The sequence below is a fragment of the Homo sapiens genome, chromosome 2, assembly GCF_000001405.40.
Source record: "Homo sapiens chromosome 2, GRCh38.p14 Primary Assembly".
Classification (NCBI taxonomy): domain Eukaryota; kingdom Metazoa; phylum Chordata; class Mammalia; order Primates; family Hominidae; genus Homo; species Homo sapiens.
In genome coordinates, this window is record NC_000002.12 from 177,710,627 (window position 1) to 177,733,105 (window position 22,479).

The 22,479-nt window shown below is 38.9% G+C and overlaps 1 protein-coding gene and 1 long non-coding RNA gene across 5 annotated transcripts in view, besides 1 other annotated feature; one reads left to right on the top strand and one right to left on the bottom strand.

Annotated features, from left to right (window-relative positions):
- Positions 1–12,663, top strand: part of PDE11A-AS1 (PDE11A antisense RNA 1) — a 49,968-nt gene extending 37,305 nt beyond the window's left edge. Inside the window, exon 5 of the long non-coding RNA NR_136171.1 lies at positions 12,463–12,663. This is a non-coding gene — a long non-coding RNA (PDE11A antisense RNA 1). The remainder of the gene's footprint in view (positions 1–12,462) is intronic.
- Positions 1–22,479, bottom strand: part of PDE11A (phosphodiesterase 11A) — a 485,096-nt gene that overhangs the window by 87,383 nt on the left and 375,234 nt on the right. For all 4 annotated transcript variants that reach the window (NM_001077197.2, NM_016953.4, NM_001077358.2 and 1 more), the window contains 3 exons: positions 17,400–17,546; positions 17,032–17,139; positions 1,143–1,252 (listed from right to left, as the gene is read on the bottom strand). In NM_001077197.2, the coding sequence (NP_001070665.1) occupies positions 1,143–1,252; positions 17,032–17,139; positions 17,400–17,546 (365 nt within the window). The remainder of the gene's footprint in view (positions 1–1,142; positions 1,253–17,031; positions 17,140–17,399; positions 17,547–22,479) is intronic.
- Positions 20,678–21,357: an enhancer, noted in NCBI's record as "OCT4-NANOG hESC enhancer chr2:178596032-178596711 (GRCh37/hg19 assembly coordinates)". NCBI's record gives its function as "activates a minimal SCP1, AML or CMV promoter by ChIP-STARR-seq in naive H9 embryonic stem cells {active_cell/tissue: H9 hESC(naive)}" and the evidence as "EXISTENCE:reporter gene assay evidence [ECO:0000049][PMID:30033119]".

Below are 22,479 nucleotides of genomic sequence, written 5' to 3' on the forward strand. Positions count from 1 at the left end.
GATGTCACAGAGACTTGGTCAGGAAATGATAGGATATTGAGAAGAGAGCACTGAAGTGATGGGCTATAGGATACAGATTGGACAGAGGGCACAAAATTGAAATTCATCTGCTAGATCAGGAGTAAATACAAGAGTCCAAGACTCCTGAAGTCTTAGTGGGTAGATGTTTGGAGGAAAAAAGAGAATGATGAGCTGAAAAGAACCTGTTGACAAAGAGCAGACTGTGAAAGTTTCAGATAATAGAGGCTGACTTGTTCTAGAGGCTGTGAAATCAGTCATCTGAAGTTAATCTTACCTCTTCGTTGAGGCCTTCTCTACTTTCCCTACCCCAAAACTTTTCTCTCCAGCCTCTGAAAGCCTCTGTCTTTTGTTTGCAGGCAGACAGTGAAAGAAACATTAACGGCAGACTCTCAATATACAAGTCAGGAGACCTGGGTTTTGGTCTTATTTCTAGCACCCATAAGTTCTGTGGCCTTGGCCACAGTATGAGCCACAAAGCAACAGCTATCTTGACCAGGAAAACCTGCTTAGGGACAGATTATTCTATCTATACACATCATGTGTGTGGCAAATAGTTGCCCAGACATCCCTGTATTTCTGTAATTCCTTTGTTTCTTCCACCTTTCTATGGGAGTAGGGAATGGGAGGAGCAAAAACTATATTCCTTGAACGTGGCTTTATTTTACTATAGTTTATATAATACCCAACATCAAAAGAATCCTGGAAGAGACTCTGTTGGAGAAGGAAAACTATATTTTGCTTCATCAAATTTCCTAAGACTGCTTTTATTTTAACAGTCTCACACCAGAGTTTGAGAGTAGCAAGTCCAAGAAGCTTATAACGCCATAAAGGCAAATATTCTGGGAGGAAAAAAGTAGACCCTTTAAAATCCAAGCTTTGTTATCTGAGTAAGGTCAACAGAGACCGACCAAATCAACAAGCATGACATGAAGGGCAAATCTGCAATTAAAAGAAGAATAGGGAATTATAAAGATGGATGGGCCCCATGACATGCACGCCCAAGCCTGCATGGCCTTGGCCTCGGATGCCAGAAATTAATGCTTTACTCTTTAGCATTCGTCACCTTTGGCTCTGAACAGAAAGGCAAATGCATTAAAATAACAACAGTTTAGAACACTTACTTAGCTTGGAAGGCATTGTTGGTTCCCCTGTGGTCGAGGTCATGACACAGGCATCCCACAATCACCGCTAAAATTTCCACCTCGGTCAGAATGTCTTGAAACCCAGCAGTCTGGGAAGAAGGGGAAAATGGCAACAGTCACTACTGGGGTACGGAGGATGGATAAGGTTAGGTGCTGAGCAACAGTCAACTCTGTTTTCATACCCACATCATTTAAGGAGATGATTAACTGCCACTCCCTCAGACAACAGTAAGTTGGGTGGTCAGTTGCACAGCCTAAGGTCCCCACAGTGATGAATTAGCTTGCTGTCACAGCAGCCCACGCTGCCACACTGGGACATAGTTCAGACTATTTTGTTCCCTTTTTAGAGAGAAGGTTGGACTATCCAGAGACAGTGACAGTTTAGCAAAGGCCCAGGGCAAAATGTGTTTTGTTATTATACATTTTAATGATGAGCATAGGGTTTGGAGGTTGGAGGTTGGGGAATAGGAAGGGGCAGTGAATTGCAAAGTGAACACTACACCTGCCAGATCCCACCCAAATGAGAGCAGGCAGAAGGAGAACACAACCCTTCTTTTTTTTTTTTTTTTTAACATTAAAAGGAGACACTTTAACATACTCAAATTGTTATACAATGACATCCTAGAGGTTATCTTGTAAATACCCTAATTCATATTAGGTTGGTAGACAGATGAAATTCATACAGATAATAAGGCAGTGCATGTCATGGACACCAGAATTTGTCAGAGGATTGTCAACCCAGACTGAGGATTGAGTGGGGTATCCATTACTGGGAATTCTTTTTTCTTATCTTGTGGTAGCTTGCTGGTGAAATGCACAGCTGTGATGTGATTTCTTTTAGAAGCAGGTTGACATAATTATGTAATCAACAGCAGCAATGCTTCTTGGGTTGCTGCTGGCCCTTTCATTAGTTTAGAAGAGGAAGTGGACCTCTGGGAATGCAGGTCTATGCATTTTCTTGATCGAAGGCCTTTATATCTCCCCCTCTTTTACTTTGTAAGTCTCCCATTTCATTACTTATTAAAATCTTTATCAGAGAGTGGGAGGAGGGGGAGGATTAGGGTACAAATTGCTTCACTTTTCATGTGTTTTTTTCCACCAAATCTAGGATCACTGGCCCACACCTGTAAGACACTTCTCTTAGTAAAATGAAAATTTTGTTTTTAAATTGGTTATGTTTGTGTTGCAGAAATAACTGAATAACAGGTTTCTGTGTTGACAATTTTATTTTTTTTTTAGGAGACAGTCTTGTTCTATCACCCAGGCTGGAGTGCAATGGCACCATCTCGGCTTACTGCAACCTCTGCCTCCTGGGTTCAAGTGATTCTCCTGCCTCAGCTTCCCCAGTAGCTGGGATTACAGGCACCCACCACCACGCCCAGCTAATTTTTGCATTTTTAGTAGAGATGGGGTTTCACCATATTAGTGAGGCTGGGCTCGAACTCCTGACATCAGGTGATCCACCCATCTCGGCCTCTCAAAATGCTGGGATTATAGGTGTGAGCCTCCACGCCTGGCTGACAATTTTATTTTAATAAATAGACTTGGGTCCACTGCTACATTTAGAAATACATATAACTTCATTTGTATAGCAAATGGGAATGTTAATAAATTGGGAGTATGAAATAGTCCATGTCAAAGCTTGCATATGCCGGCCAGGCACGGTGGCTCAAAATTGTAATCCCAGCACTTTGGGAGGCCGAGGTGGGTAGATCAACTGAGGTCAGGAATTCGAGACCAGCCTGATGAACATGGCAAAACCCCATCTTTACTGAAAATACAAAAATTAGCCTCGCTTGGTGGCACGCGCCTGTAATCCCAGCTATTCGTGAGGCTGAGGCAGGAGAATCGCTTGAACCGGGAGACAGAGGTTGCAGTGAGCCTGTATGGCACCACTGCACTCCAGTCTGAGCGACAGAGCAAGACTCCATCTCAAACAAACAAACAAACAAACAAAAAAGCTTGTATATGCCCTTCATTTTAAAATCTGCAGTTGGCTGTTAGTTTTTCTAAGTTAATTTTATTTTACTTAAATTATTACCTGCAGTAACTAAAAAAATTCAAATTATACTGAGACTTAGAACTAAAAATCAGTAGTCCCTCATTATTCTCCTTTCTTGATTCCTGAAGGCAACTACTTTCTATTTTCTTTTTCACCTAAATTCGTAGTTTTCCCACCATATTTCTTTTCTTTTTTCTTTTTTTTTTTTTTTTTTTTTTTTGAGACGGAGTCTCTCTCTGTCGCCCAGGCTGGAGTGCAGTGGCGCGATCTTGGCTAACTGCAAGCTCCGCTTCCCAGGTTCATGCCATTCTCCTGCCTCAGCCTCCTGAGTAGCTGGGACTACAGGTGCCCGCCACCACGCCCAGCTAATTTTTTGTATTTTTAGTAGAGATGGGGTTTCACTGTGTTAGCCAGGATGGTCTCGATCTACTGACCTTGTGATCCACCTGCCTCAGCCTCCCAAAGTGCTGGGATTACAGGCGTGAGCCACTACGCCCAGCCCCCCACTATATTTCTATATAGCATGCACATATTATTAGCACTTGGTTATTCACCAAGTACTCATATTGTCCTTTCTATGTACCATACATTGTTCTAAGAGCTTTACAGCCATTTAACTTATGGAGTTCTCATAACAGTCCTGTTAGGTAGAAACTATTACTGTCCCCAGTTATAGATGAGAAAACTGAGTCACAGAGAGGCTAAGTCATATGCCCAGGGTCTCCCAGCTAGTGCATAGCAGAAGGGAGCAAGCTCCTAGCATCCTTTCACCAGAATCTGCCCTTGAACACTGGCGACGTCTAGCAGCGGGTGAGTTTATGGTCACCCTCCCCTCACACTCCCAATGTGATCCACAGAGCTTTCCTATATTACCATCCTATAAATATCATTCACCGCTGAGCCAACCAGTATACAATGATTGTTTCCTTAATAATGTACATTTTCTTGTTTCCTGGAGTTAGGATTTCTGTGAAACATCTAAGTCTTCTCACACCCTACACAATTCTGCAAAATGCTTCTCAAAGCAATTTTGAAGTGGGTCAGAACGGTCACAGCTTGTTTCTAGATCCTTCCTGTCCTGGGGACTCCTTCCTGCAGCCTGACCCTGGGGTCTGGTCTGGATTCTCTCCTCTGCTGCCAGCAGCCCTCGGAGCTTCCTCCACCGTCATTCAGGGGGTTCCTCCTTCCCCTCCTGTGTCTGGTTCCCCACCTCCTGCAGCCCATGCCTTTCTTTTTCCTCATTTACTCCCTCATTTTACAGGAGCACATCTGCAGGGGCTTCATGAGAAAAGGTCTTACTGTTTTTAAACACTGGAGGAGTTGGTTGTTTTCGAGGATTTGCATGACTGAAAAAACATCTTTATTCTATTCTCGTACTCAGTGTGCCTCACAATTCTAGGCTGAAACATTTTCACTCAGAATTTTGAAGGCCTGCTCTATTGTGTTCTAGCTTCCAAAGTTGCTTTCGAGAAGAACATACCATTCTCAATCCTAATACTTTGAATGTTATTTGATTTTCTTTCTTTTAGAATTTCCTCTTTATTTCTGGTGTTCAGCAATTTCACAGAGATATGCTTTGGGTTGGAACTTTTTTCCCCGTTCAATTTGTGTGTTAAGCCTAATCTGGAGAATCAATTTCTTCAGCACAATGAAGAAATTTACTAATCTTTTTTTCTTTTCTTTTTTTTTTAAAATAATTTTCTCTTCAGGAGTTTTTTTCTGCCCTATTTGAATGAAACTCCAATTAGTTGGATACTGGACTTCTGGTACTGATTTTCTTATCTCCTCTTTTCTGTTTCCTATATAGGTCTTTCCTCTTACTTTCCAGGCATAATAATATGTTTAGTTTATAAAAATTTTCTTGTTTGCTGCTCCTTGTCTTATAATAGCATGCTATTCTTCTCCCATGGATGCATGATCTTTTCTTGTCTTTCTGAAGATATTGATTATAATTCTTCTGAAAATTTCTTCTGTTCCCCGTATTGCCTTTTTTCTCTGAACTCCTTCTTTTCTCTGTGTTTGGTGGTTTCTCTCAAGTGTCTGTCTGGTAACCTTTGGTGGTCTTTTCATTCTTAAGAGTAAAGCATCACAAAACTCACTGTGCACCAGTGTATGTGGGTGGTGCCTGGAGATTGCTGTGTCTTATCACGGGGTGACTGTGTGGCCAGCTGGTCTTTTGCTGGAGATGCCCAAATGTCAACATCTAAACTCATTTTCTCTGGACTTTCCAATCTGTTGCCTGGGAATGGTGTAAACACGTGTGTTGGCATCCTGAGAAAAGAGAACTGTAGCTGTCCACCTGTGAGGATGTAGGCTTTCACTTAATCCTCTTATTTTGAGTGTGCACCTCATCCTAACTTTGCTTTAGGTTGTGTACCCAACTCTGGGATTCAGTTTTTCTGGCAAATACTCTGGTTATGGCAGAGGCAGGGGGAAAAGTAGCCCTCCAGCTACAGAGAGGGGATGGAGACTTAGGCACTCATTGTTTCCATCACTCCCTCATTCCACATCACCTAATTTTCATGGTATCTGAGGCCTCCAGTTCCTGAGTCTCGTTAGGTGCTGGGGGTAGCATTATTTCTTATGGGTACCCCTTCCTCCACACCCTCACCTCTGAAGACACTTGGGTTTCTCTTCTCTGCTAAGTTATGAACTATCCTCCCTTCACTTTCTGCCTTCATGTGTTATGAGTCCATGCAAGGCAGGATTTGTGTACATTTCTTTCTCTCCGTATTATTTGAGGATGATTTTTGAGAAGGGGAGGGGGGATAAATGTATTTTGTTGTCATCTCTATCATCTTAAAACTCAAAATGTTGAGTTTGGTCTTGCTAATACTAGGTAAAACTTGAAAAGTCTATCAAGTATGAAATAATTACCTATGATACTCCAGAAATAAGTGTTGTGCAATGATATTGTGCTAAAATTTAGAGAGACTTTGCCCATGGAAAAGCTATTGACTAGAATTAGCTGATGAATCAGAGCAGTAAGTTAGAGATAATGTTAAAATAAGGTAATTTGACTAGAAATTTAATCAGTAGTTAAAATCAAATGCCATCTAATAGATTTGAGATCAAAATCCCCAGCCATTTTTAAGCCATCAGTTATCACCCATTTTATAATAAGATGGAACATATTTTGCTAAAATGTTCCACACAGTCCCTGTCCCCTGCTCTGCCCAGAAATCTAGCATCTTGGTCTTAAACTACTGGTATCATGGATACTTTTAAGAACATAACAGAGCCCTAGACTCTCTTCCTAGAACATTTTCTATAATTTTATAATATCAAAGACTATGGAGCCTATCTCTAGATCCTCGGAGTAGAGAATCCCTGAAGTACAGCACCCACACACAGTCACACAAAACATATTTACCTCTCCCGACGGTGATACCTGAGTTACTGAAGCAGCACCTATCTCTTGACTGTGATTTAAAGCTGCCTGGTAAATGGTTTCTGGGAGTCATCAGGCCTGAAAAATGCCCACCTGCCACTAAGTGTCCTTTTGCCCCTCCCCCGCCCTCATCCATCTTCCTCCCAGGGCTATCCATTCAGGCCTGCACGTACTGATATTGAGTAGAAAAAGTCAACTGCCTGCTGAAGACAATATACTTTCAAAAGAAAACAGAGAGGCGGCAGGAAGTATATTTTAATGCATTTACCCCATTCTTGACTCTGGTTTATTCTTTTATTTTCAAATAAAATTATATTTTTCTGCTCCTGACCCAATCATTATGGGTTTTATTGAGCTTTAATGTTAATATATCTTCTCACCTGTATTCCCTCACAGTTCGTATCAGAAATAATAAGCAGTAAATACAATATATCTAAGTAAAGAGTCAGCCAGGGCATATAAACCTATTTCCCATGTCACCCCCTCCAGCAAAGCCTTTCACCTGTCCTCTGAGCAGGCCTCCAATGATATTCCTTCATTGGGCTGAAATGTATACTGGGATAAGCCTACCCCCAGCCACTACGGCATATAATAACTAGAACTCCAAAAGACCCAAGCCAGTAAGATTGATTCTCAGGGTCTCCTGGACTACCCAGTAATTTCTATCATTAGCCAATGTAAAATTTAAATCAGCCAGGATGTACTCTCATTTTAATGTTGATCCTGTATGATACCAGTGAATGGGGGAATATCATAGCCAGAGAAAAATGACTGTTACTTTGTGACTCTGTTGAATCCAAACAGGTGTAAAAACACCCATAATATCAACACTAGATGGTGCTATAGACAATTTACTAATTTAAGAAGTGTCATTAAGTGCCTATTATATATTGAGCACTGGGTAGATTTGAGAAGAGGCCTGGGATAATGTCAACAACAGTTAACTTTTATAGTGCTTAGTATATGCCGGGCATTTTCCTAAATACTTCACATTCATTAGCTCATTTAATCCTTACAAGAACTCTCTGAGACAGGTAACTGTTCTTATCTTCCCATTTTGTAGATGAAAACATTGAGGCACCAGGTTACAAGACTACAAAGTAAGAGAGGTGGGATAAAAGCCCAGGTAGCCTGGCTCCCCAGTCTGTGTTCTTACTTACTGTGCTACACAGCCCCTAAGTTGAGGTGTGGGTTCAGTTGCACAGCTTTTAAATCCTATTGTGATGATACAGTGTTAGATAATAGGGCTGTAAAGAATCCCTTGGTGTGTGCTTTATTTCACGAAGGACGTTATTCTTGAGTAGGAAGAGATTGATACTGCAGAGCCATTGGATATTTTTAGTTTAAATATGGCTCTGTCACATCAATATGTGCTTGATAATATACAGTGCTTTATAAGTGAGGTTTGGAGAGAAAAGAAAGATACAATAGTTTGTAATATCTCAACTTTATAAAATGTTTAAATATATGTATAGGAAAAAGACTGTTAAGATGTATATCAAGATATTATCAGTAGTGGAATTACAGTTGGCTTAAATTTTTTCCTTTGTGTCTAAAATTTCCATAAAGAACATTTGTTTATAAGAACATCTATATTTATACACGTGTATGTATATTTGTACATTCTTTTTTGTTTCAAGAATTAGCCCACACTTCATCAAACTGTCCCAGCTTGAAATGAAATAGTGATATTCTAAAAAGTGTCCATTCATTCATTGAACAAATATTTATTATTTACTGATTTCCTGGCACTAGGAACAGGGCAGTGAAGAAGACAGCCGCCCCTTGCTGCACATAGAATCTGGTTACCCTTCGAGCCAGCAGAGCAGTGCCACAGAGCACTGTTTTCTAAAGAGAAGCTGTCATAACATTGGTTGTGCTTTGTGGAAGACAGAACTGGTAGGAATGTCCAGCTCCTCCTGCTTGGTTTCTGGAGGAGGTGCACCATGGACTGCACACCCTTGCCATGTGTGCAGTCCTGGCTCAGCAATCTGAGAAAATGATGCCAGAAATTCTGCTCTCACCTTTCTTTTTGAACCCAACTATCGGAAGTATTGAATGATAAGGGATTTCCTGATGAGTTCATCCTGTTGATTCTGAGATGTAGCAGATGGCAAACTAAGACAGAGGGAATCTAATGATGTACTAGAAATTCCTAATGGTTGCAGACACCCTAAAGCTGAAGACAGTAGGCTCCATATGCTCCACCATGGATTCTGATGTCCAGGCACTGCAGCAGAGCCCTAGGTGGATTGGCTAAGGTTGAGGGACAATATGATAGATTTTGGAGAGTCTTTCTTCCTCTTCTTCATCTTTCTCACTCTTTTGGAAAAGAAGAGGAAAAAGTACGGCTCAGACAATTCCAAGGGGTTGGAGAGACATGGTTTCTCAAGGAGGTGCCTCCTCTAGAAGAGTCTGCACACCATATTCCTAATCTGTGTCATCGTGCCTTTGCTGATCTATAGATGGCTTGAATTTGAAGGCCTTATGAGCTTGGAACAGAAAGGCAGTATTTACAGAAGAAGCATTTAATTTCTGGTATTTTAAAATTTCTGGTACGTAGAGTGTTGCAGGGTCACTCTCTGGGGTCTTTGTTTGGTACATTATTAAAATCACATTTATTTCAGCCAAAAAAGTGCTCTTTGAAGGTTTCATTGTAAATGCCACAAACAAGATGCTCATATCATCTTAACAACAAAAAAAAAGGCCCAATTTGCAATGCTGATGGCTGGTCCAGCTCTGCTGGGTCATACTTAACATGAAGAGTCTGCTTGTGAAACTTACATCTCCTAATGGAAGCTGATGGTTCTATAAGAAGGGTGCCTTCAATCACCCCCAAGTTCAGCACATATCCCACTCATGGGTGGATCACGGTGGTCAGAGAATTGTTAGGGCAATGTTAGGGCTCCATGTGCATGGACAGCAACCCCAGTATGCTTCTTTTTGAGACCCTATTTTATTTGCTTTGTGATGGAATGGCAACCACTCAACATATAGATCCTAGGGGCAGCCTAATGGGTATCAAACTGTTTTATATGCTCCAAGGCAATAATATTGAGCAGAGGACTATCTCAAGCTTTGGAGTGGAAGCAGATTTCAATTGCTTACTAGGAGTGCTTATGAGTATTTATACTACTGGATGTCGCAGCATACCTTCTTTTTAAAAAAGGATCTTACCTTTGTCAATCAGAGACAGTGTGTGATGAAAGCATAAGGGGAAGAACAGGTATGCAACCACAAACTTCAATGGAGGGGAAAAAATCCCTACTGAGCAAACTATAGCATCTAGATTTAGTGGTCATACTCCCTCGGCATTTACAGTAAAGTTTGTCTACCAATAAATGGGTCTGCTGAAGAGAAAAGGGGGCACCTTAGCCCCATTTTGAGGTCCAGAGACCAGAACCTTTCCAGCTGATAGGGAATCACCATCTAGGACCAACAAACTCACATGTCTCCTTTACCAGAGTATGCAATGTAACAAGCCAATTGCAGGTTGTCTAATTATTCATGGGAACGGGATAGTTTTGATTGAATTTGCTTATCTTTCTTTTCAAGATGAATGCAACCAAATATTGATTTGGCATTAATTAACTATTGATTTAGGCCTAACTGGTCCTTTCCTTACCAAGCTCAGAGTTGGAAAAACCTTACAGTCTATATATAAATGACTTTCTTTCCCAACCAGAAGCTTCTGAAGGCACTTACTATCAAATCATAAAACCTTAGTCATGTTTTGGGAATATGTTGACCCTTTAGCCTCAACTACGGTTGCAAGTGCTTGTGTATGTAAGTCTCAGAAAGGCAACACAGTCCAGTACAATTACATATGTTGCGTAGATGTTTGATGCATACATTTAAAAATTGGATTAATTTTATATATAACTTTATTATTATATTCTATTACATTTATAACCACTTCTAAGGCTTAATTTTTAACCTGTTTATTAGCATAAATTTCAAATTCTTTATTTTGGAGAGTTAAAAACATACAAAAAATAGAATACCATTAATATAATGAACCCAGTGCAGTCATTGCCTAACTTCAGCAGGAATCCAGGTTTTGCGGCTTGTTTCATCTGTCTCTTCACATGCAGTGTGTGTTTGTTTTGTTTTGTTTGCTAGCGTATTTCAAAGCAAACCTCTGGTATCTGTCAACACTATTTCATTCTCAAGAAGTCCTAATGTGGTCAAATAAAATTTGCTCAATATATTTCTGCTGTCTTATTTTGATAAAATGTACAAAAAGATATACAAATAATATAAGGAAATTTTCAACTAAATAATAAGACTTGAGAAAGTGGAGGTTTCTACATCAAAAGATAATAAATAAACATAGCTGTATGTATATAGCACATATAATGCATTTTAAAAGGAACCAAAAGAAAAATATCAGATTCTTAAGGACTTAGCTTTCAACCCTAACAATATTTGTGCTTTATGATTTTTTTTGAGGACAAGGACGGTATGTTTTGTCCATGTTTAGAAATATAATTTATATTTTATTTCTGATAAATTACCAGTGAACTGCATATAATATAACATATGGTTTATGACCACAGAAAATGAAGCAGATCACTTGCTGCACATTAATTGTGTAGAAAGACAGATCTCTCAAAGTGCCACAGAGCCCAGGTTGGTGAATTTCAAGAATTTGAGGCTTCTTCAAAGCTCAAATTTTTATTAGCCATAATTCAGCCGAAACTAAACTTGAGACCCATGAAAATTTAAAACTTTTTATAGCTCCCAACTTAACACCCTTAGGTGCCAGGTTTCAGTCCCAAGAAAGTGCCACTAGGAAATCATACACCGTGGAAAATGGAGGCTGTGATAAATGACCATGGCTCTGCTGCTGGGTCTCCCTGACCTGGAGGATTTGGCTGGCGTCATAAAACACAAAGCGACAGATTAAGCAGTTTACCAACATCATAAAAATCTCAAGAATAAATTCACTTTAATCAAAAATCCTATATTGTAACTAGGCAGCCCCAGCCTCGAAACCACATACATTTACGTATAAGCCTATGTCCGTGAGCAAGAGGTTATACTTTCCCTGTAACGTCGGACATGATTATGTTCATACACTTTTACAATTTACATGTCCTAAGAAAAATACCCAGCTCTGGCTGATGGTGCGGGAGAATTTATTTTCACTAGAAAGGGAATGACCCATAACTCATGAATGGCAGCGCTTAAAGTGAGTTATGGAGGTTACTCTCCTGTGAGAGGAAATGGATTGGATTATCCTTCTGCCCAATTGTATGTTTGGTTATTAGCACACCAGGTTCTTAATTATGTGCAGCTTTGCCTTTTTTCTTTTATAAAATAAATGTGGATAAAGGCAATGTCAGCTGGAAGCATGGAGTGCCTAATTGGGGCTCTGAGATGCAGTCAGAGAGAAGAAAAATAGAAACCTTTTTTAAATGATTAAAAGACAGGAGTCTTAAATGTAATTTAAACACAGTATTCAAATTGATTAGCCCCATAGTTAATTTATTGTGTCTGGTGCTGATGTTCTGCAAAAACATTTAAAAATTACTCCTTTTCTAAATTAAAAATTTGCCATCTTGTAGGTTACATTTGCATGAAGATTAAAGAGTTGGTTATTCTATCATGTAGATTTTATTATAGTATTACAATAATGCTGCCATTTATTTTAAAGTAAATATAACAAGTTACTACTTTTTTGATAAGGAAATACAATGTAAAAATGATGTTTGATGATTACAAATATGATTACTGTTTATTAATTTATTTCAGTCAGTTACAGAACAAAACATCTAGATCTCTCTGTAACTTCCAGTGTTACAGTCTACAAAGGAATTTGATTTCTGTTGAGATTAGGATTCTGATTATTGAGTAAAAATATTTTATTTAAAATTTCAATTGGTTCTGTATTTCTTGGACAGGGAGGGAGGAGTTTCAGCTGTGCTTCTAAGATCTTCCAGAATGAATTTTCTACCTCAAAAATCAAGGACTTTTCTGGAAACTGCAGTCAGAGGACAGAACATCAGCCTCAAGCTGGTAAATAGGATGGATTTTCTCCCTAAACATCCCTTCTGCTTTCTAGTTTGAATTATCAATAAAATGGTTTGGCTTATCTCTGAAAATAACCTTGTTGACAACACAAATATGGATTTAAACACGCTACCTCCACATTAAGATTTAAGAAGCCCCCAGTAAATGTCAGGGGGTGTCAATGTGTTTGCTGTGATACTTGGTTATTATTAGTGTTTAACTGCAATTCCCCACCAGCGCCACGCTGCCTGCACCACCATAAATTTTAATGTGATCATGTGCTCTTCTCTTTTCATATCCAGTGAATTCTGCAAGATCATAATATTCTATATGAACCCTAGCTGAACCTTAGTGTGATATGAAGAAAGAACAAGATTTCAAGCAATAATAGTTGTTCACCATTTTATAGCTTTTTTTAACTGGACACTGAGCAACATGGTTCCTTGAATAATATTACCCTAAACTAAATTCACTCATTCAATTAATCTTTATTGATACCCTACAGGATGCAGGGCATGGCTCAAAGTGCTAATGAGTACATTTATGGGATAGTAAAGAATACTGACTCTTAAAGAAATCTTTTTTTTTCCCCTTGGAAAATCTGTCAGAGCTCATACATCATTTATAAAACCGAAAAAAATGTCTCTGCAACCTTGGCACCACTACATGCCTTTTATTTTACAGAATACAAACAAAAGCAGAGTCATTTCCGATATCTAGTCTACATCGTGAATATAAGAAATATGTCCCTCATCTTTTATCATGTATTTATAGTTATAATTTATTTATTATGTATGTGCATGATGGAATATTTGTTCTATAAACTTCTATTAGTAAAGAAAATTTATATGATGATCATTCATCTGCAGGTTTTCTTCCTCATTTTAACCACAAATAATAACTGTCACTACCTACTGTATTTGTCAGAGGAATTCAAAGTATTTGGGAAATTTTAACTATCTAAATATCTTTTTAAAAACAAAGAATAACATTGAAGCTTTCAAATTTATAAATGTGAAATTTCAGACCAGAGGCATGGAACAAATTAATAAGTCATTAACAGGGTTCCCAGTGAATAAAATGTTCATCATTTTATATCAATTTGCCTGTCCTACACAGTAGTTCTTTTTTTTTTTAATTTCTAAAGGAACAAAACCGCTTTGTTACCTACACATGAACCTGAATACTTTTGCAAAACACAATGCTGAGTCAATAAGTTTATTTTCCACCCGTGAAGTGATTTTAGGGTTAAAGGTTAGGAAGCTGGGGCATATATTTATAATTTGCTTGTCCTGTTGTACGTGGTGCCAAAATTTGTTCAGCAGTGACACACAACTATGCATTTCCCCATTCCCAGAGACAATAGGCTTGGAAAAATACACAATCACAGATTTAAGGTCACACGGAGAACACTATTATTCACTTTAACAGCACGGTATGCAAGGTGGCAGTCATAAAACAGGCCCATCCTGATGGGAGATGCTCTTTTCCGACAGACTGGTTTTGTTGCTATCTCTTTTAGGAAAAACATTTATTTTGTGGTGGGGTGTGTACCTCAGTATTCCCTGTGCTAGAAGAAAAGAAGCACTTTCAAGGAAGGTGGGTAAGGTTTTTTCCCCCTTTTCTGGAAACCAGCTGAGAAACTTTGCCTTGGAGCGCCATCTAGAGGAAGCCTCAGCACACACACGCTGTGCTTTCTTAGCCTTATGACATGACCCAGGTTGAATCCAATGGTTGGTACATGGTGAGTTTCTTTTCTTTTCTTTCTTTTTTCCCCCCAGATTAATAGAGAATTTTGGTTCTAACACAACCCACAGACAGGAAATATGAGATCACTGGAATGGAATTTTAATCACTGATAAGATCAAAACATTGAAAGGCTTTTAGAATCTTCAGGAGTGCCAAAAGCATGAGTGCCCATTGGTGGTAAGAAATAGGGCATCATTTTACCATAGGCCGAGTCACATTCCAGAGATGAGAATTGATGAGCGAGTTAAATTTATTTTTAGCTACACTGATTGAGTCGTCTTTGTTACTTCTGTAATTATTTTCTTAATTAAAAAATTCTGATTAACCAGATTGACCAGAGTCAAGCTTGGAGAAGATACTTACGTTAGAGAGAAACAAATGTTGACACTTTTAACTGACTGTAACCCTTAGTTAAGTTCAACAAAATTTAATGAGCAGAAAATACTATCTTTTCCAGATGTGGCTACTCAATACAATGTGAAGGAGAACAAAATAACGTTGTATTCTTTCTGAAGTCATGTTTTTGTTTTGTGATCTCCTCCACCCACCCTCCTTAGAGAAATTTGACAATGAAGTCTCCTCTTTCTGTGTTAGCATGAATGCAAAAAAACAAAACCTAAGCCTTCTCCAACAATGCTGCTCTTCAAGATTGCTGAGCATACTTGCAAAAACAACTGTACCCTGGAAATATTCTGACGATATGAGCATCCCCATTGTGGTGACATAGTTTAAGAATTCTATTCTCTTCAATTTCTTGGAAAGGATCAAAATTGCCCATATAATGGAAATACCCACTGCAGAAAACTGGATATATATTTCCTTTTGCTCCTAAGTGTCCACTGTGACCCTGCTGCTCTTGCCAGTTTCCCCTATTCCAACTATTTTAAGGTTTGTTATAAAAATCTGTCTCTGTCCTTGACATTTCTAACTCAAAAATGTCACAGCCATTTCTTTTTCCTTCATTGAACAGGGTTCCTACTTACTTATTTTGGCAATTCGCATAAATCCATAGGTTTTCCCAAATAATGGGTTAAAAAGTTTTTTATTGAATGTCCTCTGTGGGCCAGACATATGAAATCTGTACACAAAACATTATACCTTGTTTACTGAGGTAGGATATGGAAAAACAAAATGAAGATTTTTTTTTTCCAAGCAATGGTTGTTACTTGAGCTATTAAGCCTCATGGTTCAAAGCACCTTCCTTTCTCACTTGATGGCTCACTCCTCTAACGGTGGATGCAACAGAAGAATGGAATCAGTCCAGTTTTCCCAGGCCAGTCTGCCTGTTTATTAAGCAGTTGAGGACCCAAAGCACAAGTCCCTAGTATAAAAGACATTCTGGCCCCATCTTATGCTAGATGCACATTTCAGCTCATGTCAATTCAACATACATTTTTTGAAAACCCACCAAGTACATGACAGAGTGCAGGGTGCTGGTGTGACCCTCAATAAATGGTGGTTGAGCAAATAAGTAGATGCTGTTGAAAAAACAAGAAATGATCTCTTCCCTCAGCAGCTTACTCTATAGGAGGATGACAGATTTGTAACTTAAAATACACAGTAGCAAGAAAGATGTGTTGTACTAGATACAGTACAGGGAAAGAAGTAATTATTGATGATTTGGGAGAAAGGGGAAGACTTTGTAGAAAAACTGGCACTAGATGAATGCCTTAAAGGATGAGTAAAATTTTAATAGGCAGAAAATGAGGCAGAGTTTTTTTTTTTTTTTTGAGAAAGAAGCAGAATTGTCTTTGTTCATTTGGACCAAAGGAAAATGCATTTCATTTGGCGTTCTGATTTTGTGTTTAAATTTTAGTCTGGGTGCAAAAATATAAGGTATTTATTTTATGTTGGAAGAGTCCAAGACTCACATTCTTTTTTTTTGTATGGCAATATGTTTACACACACCCACAGATATGTACGTACACATGTGTGTATATATAACTATGAAGCCAAAGAAACCAACATATTTAAGCCAGAAAACATTGTACTTGATGATAGTGTAACAATGTAGTAGAAATTATGCCAAAAAAAGCCTTATTTCTTGCCAGAAGAAGTAAATAGAGGATTTGTTTCAATATTTGCCACAAACATTTGCTTTGAGATTAAATTCCAAGGCTTATATCTGCCCAGCTGCACTAGATATCTCCGTGAAACAGACTGGCCACCATCACTGGGTTAAAACCCCACGGGACGAGATTTTAAGGCAAGTAAGCCCTAAACCTGGAGAGTGCGCACTCTTACCCCTCTTTTCTCCTTGGCCTCCCTGGGCATTGTCTCAAATAAGCATCCTCTCAGGATTTCCATATTCCTGCGGGTGATGTTCACACCTCCCTACTGGCTTTCCACCAGCCAAGAGAGTCATATCCAGTGATCTCTTTGTTCTGTTACTCAACTACATTTCCTCTGCAAAAAGATTACTTTAAAAATCTGAGCATTTCTTTTGTAAAAGAACAAGTTTACCAAGAAAAAATACTGAACAGAAGCTCAAGTAATCATTCCAAGGCTACACTGGCTTCAAGGGGTCAACAATGTTACAGCTTTCAAGCTCAGAAATTGCTGGCACATATATACTTTCATAACCAGGGTAGGTAAGTTCCAACATAAAATGATCACATGGTAATTTTTCAGAGAAATGGAAATGTAAAGGAGAAGGCCTGCCAGTTCCTACGAATGAGAAATGATCTTCCACCATCACTAAGCACACTTACGGTTAACATCGCGAACATCAGCTGACACACGTTGAAGGCATGTCTCCAGTTGTGGTATAGAACCATCCGATAGTTTTTCCTCACTGTCAAAAGCCACCTACACAGTGTCTGAAATGGGAGGGAGAGGGTGCGTCAGGCAGTTGTAAGTGATTCTAGTGGACCCTTATCTCAATGGTGCCTTATATCTGAGTAACCCTCAGTGATCAAAGGCCTTCCACAAACATCTCTTCTGGTTCTCACAGTAATCCCATGAGGTGTGCAGGGCAGGGATTATCATCCCCATTTTGTATTTGGGAAACCAGTGGTTCAGAGTGGCTAACACGTTGTCCCAGGTGAACTGCTTGGATCACCCAAGACAGACATCTTACCTCATAGTCAATTTTAAATTTCTGTACCATCCCCAGCTCCATGAACATCCGGAGAGCAGCTGTGATCATGGCATCAACGTCGAGAGAAAAGTCATCAAAATGAATGTCATCGATGGCAAGTTCTGACACCAGAGGGATGTTGGCTGCCTAGAAAAGCAAAAGACATAAGTCAAGCCAAGTTCACCAGCTTTCCCAAACCCCCATCCTGCTCTCCTCCCCTGCTTATCAGAAGTGCCACATAAATCAGGCCTGACCTGCACTTACACCCTGATACAGCTAAACTCTGAGCTGTAAATGTCTTTTGTTTCTGAACTGCAAATGCCCCAAGCAAATGAAGGTGGGGGCAGGGTTGGGGGCGGGGGGAGGGAAACTAATCTGAAGATAAAATACACGCACTGGATCTAGCCTGCAGAATTTATAATACAGAACTGTCAAGTTTATGGAAACTGTGGTCATACAATATATTCTGATGCATATTACAGAGCACTAAATGCAAGAAACATCTGGGCAGCCAGCAGCTGTGAATTTTAATTGATGCTATTCAGGAGAAGGAGAAGGGAATACACCACTTTGCCTTGTTTCTTATATCCTTATATCCTGTAGCTTGCACGTGTTCTTTGTTACACACGTGTTCTGTATATTCAGAATGATCGAAAGGATCAGACAGCACATCTCTGGTGGGAAATATGTTGCCTTAATAAAATAGAGATATCTGAAGGTTTAGCATAAGCCTATGTTTCACTGAGGAGATCAATTTTGCTTTCTTGTTTAGCTTCATTCTATATAAACATCACAACATAATTACAATACTGGTCATACATATTCAAGGTTTTCAAAACACCCATGTTAGGCAACTGTCAATCAGCTGCCCACAAACGAGCCTAAAGAGGAGAAAAAAAATCTTTGGAAATCATTTGTATGGTGATTTCATTGGGTTTACCATATTCTTTGGATCACTCTTGGTAAGGGAGTCACTTTTATATTTTCAGGTTATCAGAGACCATTCTGTATTCATATTCCTATCTATTCACTGGGTTTAAATTACCCTGACAGTAATTTATGCCCTGGAGCTACTTACTTTGGCTAAGAGATTCAATCCAACTCTGGCTGCTCTAAGCATTCCAGAAACCACATAATTAATCCTTGCTTCCCAACTCTATGCTCCTCCATAGGTGGAGCTTAGTTTTTCCATGTACTTGCAATTAATTCAACCCCTAAACTCTCTATCAGTTGTCTAAGTCTCTTCTCAAAATGTTCATATGCTTTGGGCATTCCGTCAGTTTCACGAATAAATCACTCCTGGAACTTCCCGCATTTCTCCAGTCTAGACCAACTATCTTATAAGTCTGATGTGTAGTTTTCATCCTAGGATATTCCTTCACCATAATTGTGGGGATGCCTTTCTCTCTTTCTTTTGTTTCTCTAGCCCACATCTTTCTCTTTCTTGCTTTCTCCTCTCATTTTGGTGAGACACATCCTCTAACAGATTCCCAAGAAAAGGTGTGGGGTAGATTTGTGAGGCTGTGCAGTCTGAAATGTTTTTGTATTACTGTCACATTTCATTAATAGTTTGCCTAGGTAAGATTTCTAGGTTGGAAATCATTCCATTAGAATGTTAAAGGCATTGCTCTTTGAGCTTTCGATGTTACTTTTGAGAAGTCAGAAGCTATTCTGTGCTATTATACTTTGAAAATAACTCCCCCCTCCAACTGAGTTTTTGTAGAATCTTTTTGCTTCAAGAGTTCTGAAATGTCATACAAATGTGCCTTGGTGTGAGTTTATTTTCATTCATTATCCTAGGCACTTTGTAAGCCCTTTTCTTTTTTCCCCCTTTTTTTTTCCAGTGTATCTATTACAGGTTTTTGCTTTGTAGTTACCATGAGGCTTAGCTTTAGCTGTAGTAAATTATTTTAAAGGCTTATCATTAGCTATAATAAATTATTAAGATGACATCTTAATTTTGATTGCAAAAAAAGAAACAGAGGGAAAAAAGATACTTAATTCCATCCCCCTCTGCATTTTGATTTTTTGTTGTCACTTTAAATCTTTTTTAAAAATTTATTTATTATACTTTAAGTTCTAGGGTACATGTGCACAACGTGCAGGTTTGTTACACATGTATACATGTGCCACGTTGGTGTGTTGCACCCATTAACTCGTCATTTACATTAGGTATATCTCCTAATGCTATCCTTCCTCCCTCCCCACACCCCACGACAGATCCCGGTGTGTGATGTTCCCCGCCCTGTGTTCAACTGTTCTCATTGTTCAGTTCCCACCTATGAGTGAGAACATGCGGTGTTTGGTTGTAAGCCCTTTTCTTAATTGGAAAATTATGTCTTTTAATTCTAGAAAAACATTTTAAAATAAGCTCTTTGAAGATCTCTTCCTCTCTTTGTTTTTCTGAAATTCCCTTAACTTGACCTTTGGACTGGTTTGTCTTTCTTTTCTTTTTCTTTCTTTCATTTCTCTTTTCCTTTAGTTTTTATTTTCTTTTTCTTACATGTTTTTCATTTCTCATATTTTTTCTTTTCCTTTTTGCTCTGCTTTCTAGGAAATTTCTTCTTACTGTTGAGATTTTAATACCACGGTTTTCATTCTAAGAGCTCTTCTTTTGTCGTCTGGATATTCCTTTTTATGTATTTTTAATAGTACCCTAATTTTATTTCACGGATACAATATTTTCTCTTACCTGCCTGAGGATGTGAATGACAATTCTATTTGTCATTTTCTTCTCTTCTTATAATTGGCTTCACTCTCTGTACTTTGTTTTAGTCTCTCCTTTTTTATTGTGGTAAAAATACTGTACTGTGTACAGTACAGTAGTGTTAACTATATGCACATTGTCATACAACAGATCTCTAGAACTTTTTCATCTTGCATGGCTGAAACTCCATACTTATTAAACAATTCCCCATTTCCTCCTCCTCCCAGCTACTGACAACCACCATTCTACTTTCTGTTTCTATGAGTTTGATTACTCTACCTCCTACAAGTAGAATCATGCAATATTCGTCTTTTTTGTCATTGGCTTATTTGACTCAGCATAATGTCCTCAAAGTTTATCCATGTTAAAGCATATGACAGGTTTTCTTTTTTTTAAGCTGAATAATATTCCATTGTATGCATATACCACATTTTTGTTCCATTCATCAATCGTTTCATCTCTGTCTTCATCAGCCAACTTTCAAGAAATTATTTTAATACATTAGAGGCTTTAGAAATATTAGAGGTTTTCCTTAGCGGCCTGATAATCTTTAGTTTTCCACTCCTGTGTAAAAGTGGGGCTCTAAAAGTTTCTATTGGAGCTTCTGGGGGCTTCTCTGTAGGGGGAATGTGTCTGACCTGTTTCCTTGGGGAAGCCACCAAATATCAGTGTCTTTGTGTCTTTACTCTTTAGCTACTCAGAATCCCCAGAGAAGAGTCTTCTGGCTGGAGCCTAGCGGGGAAGCAGGTTGGAGGAGGAGTCTCAGCATTGGTTTCCTGTTCATTCAGTCCTCCTGCTTTCACCCTGCACGCCCACCCTCACCCTCTGCACTGACGATTCCCTAACCCAAAGACCCAAGATTATACTCTCTCCAGAGGACAAGCCTCTAGTCTTTATGGAGTGGGGGAGTAGAACAAAGGATATGGGGCTCTAACTGCTTCTTAGACTCTCTGTTTTCCTGTTTATAAGCCCATCTTCATTTGCACTTCCAAAGGTACTTAATTAGTCAATTCCTGAGCTATCTGTGGGGAGGAGTCTATGGTATAAATCTGCTTGCCTCTCAGCTTTTCCCATTGCTAGGTTATTTTGGCTGTCTTGAGTTTGCTAAATTACTTTCTATTCATCCATCTGTTTTCTAGCATCCAAAATTTTGTCACCATTAAGTCCCTTCCCAATTTCTTTGGCTTTGAGAATTTATGCACTAAAAAAAACCTTTATTTTTGTTTTAATAGGGCATGGGGAGAGAACAAAAGAAAATGAGTGTAGTTAATCTATCATCTTTATCCAAAAATAAATGAAGTTATCTTTATTAAATGATACCTAGAATGGTCAGCTTGGAGAACTCAGAGGGAAGCCAGCCTTTGGTCTGTAGGCCCTTTGTTTCTATGTGCACACCTGGCTGCAACCATGTAGATCTCGTTCTCTTATTCTGCGCCCCTGTGGGTTCACTTGTGCCAGTGAACTCACTTATTAGGCTGTAACAATCTTAGAGGCAGATGCCATGTTTATTTTTCTTAGGGAAGATCCAAACAATTCTTTACTCCTATCATGTGTTTGAGGGTTTGTAAATAGAGAATACCAAGGTCTCAGAAAGATCTGTGCTTGTGGTAATTTGTTCCAATTCAAAATCAAATGTTAGTGGGAAAAACACTTTTCAAGAGATAGAGGCCCTGTCCCAAAAGACACAAATCTTTCTGGTCTCAGGAGAGAAGTTTAGTTCTGAATTGGCAAAGGAGGCTGAACCTTGTTACAGTTTGTTACCAAAGAAGCAGAAATGGTGATAGAGGCAGCACTACTCCACTCCAGGTGGCCCCTGTCTTGTAGATTATTAATAGTGTATTCCCTGATACCATTATAAATCCTCTACCTTCCAAAGGCACTAAATCCACTTAATTATCTTAAAAATTAAAGAATATAGGAATTTTTTCATTATGAAGTGTTAATGGAAAGGAAATAAGAACATTACGTTGAAAATGTAAAATGACCTCTGGTTCACCAAGACCCATCCTTATTGACCTTGTCTTTTTTTCCCCTAATAGGTTGATTGATCCATGGTTAAATCATACCGGTGTGTAGATCACACTAAGCCCTGCCATAAACCCTTGCTGGCACTTGTAGATGAAAGAAAGTTCCAAGCCTTTCAAGAATGACCATTTTCAGCTATTTTGAGAAGTCTGGGTAGTTTTCATCCCCACATTGCTGGGTTCAAGGGCAGGTTCTGGAGAAAACTATGAAGAGTAACAGGCAGTATGTATCCTGAGCAGACAAGCATAAAAGATTTGGGAATAGCCTTCCATTGACAAATTCCTTGTTATAGAGACACAGTGCTCCCCATTGCTTCCAGTAAACAGAAAATGAGATTGCATCTTCCAA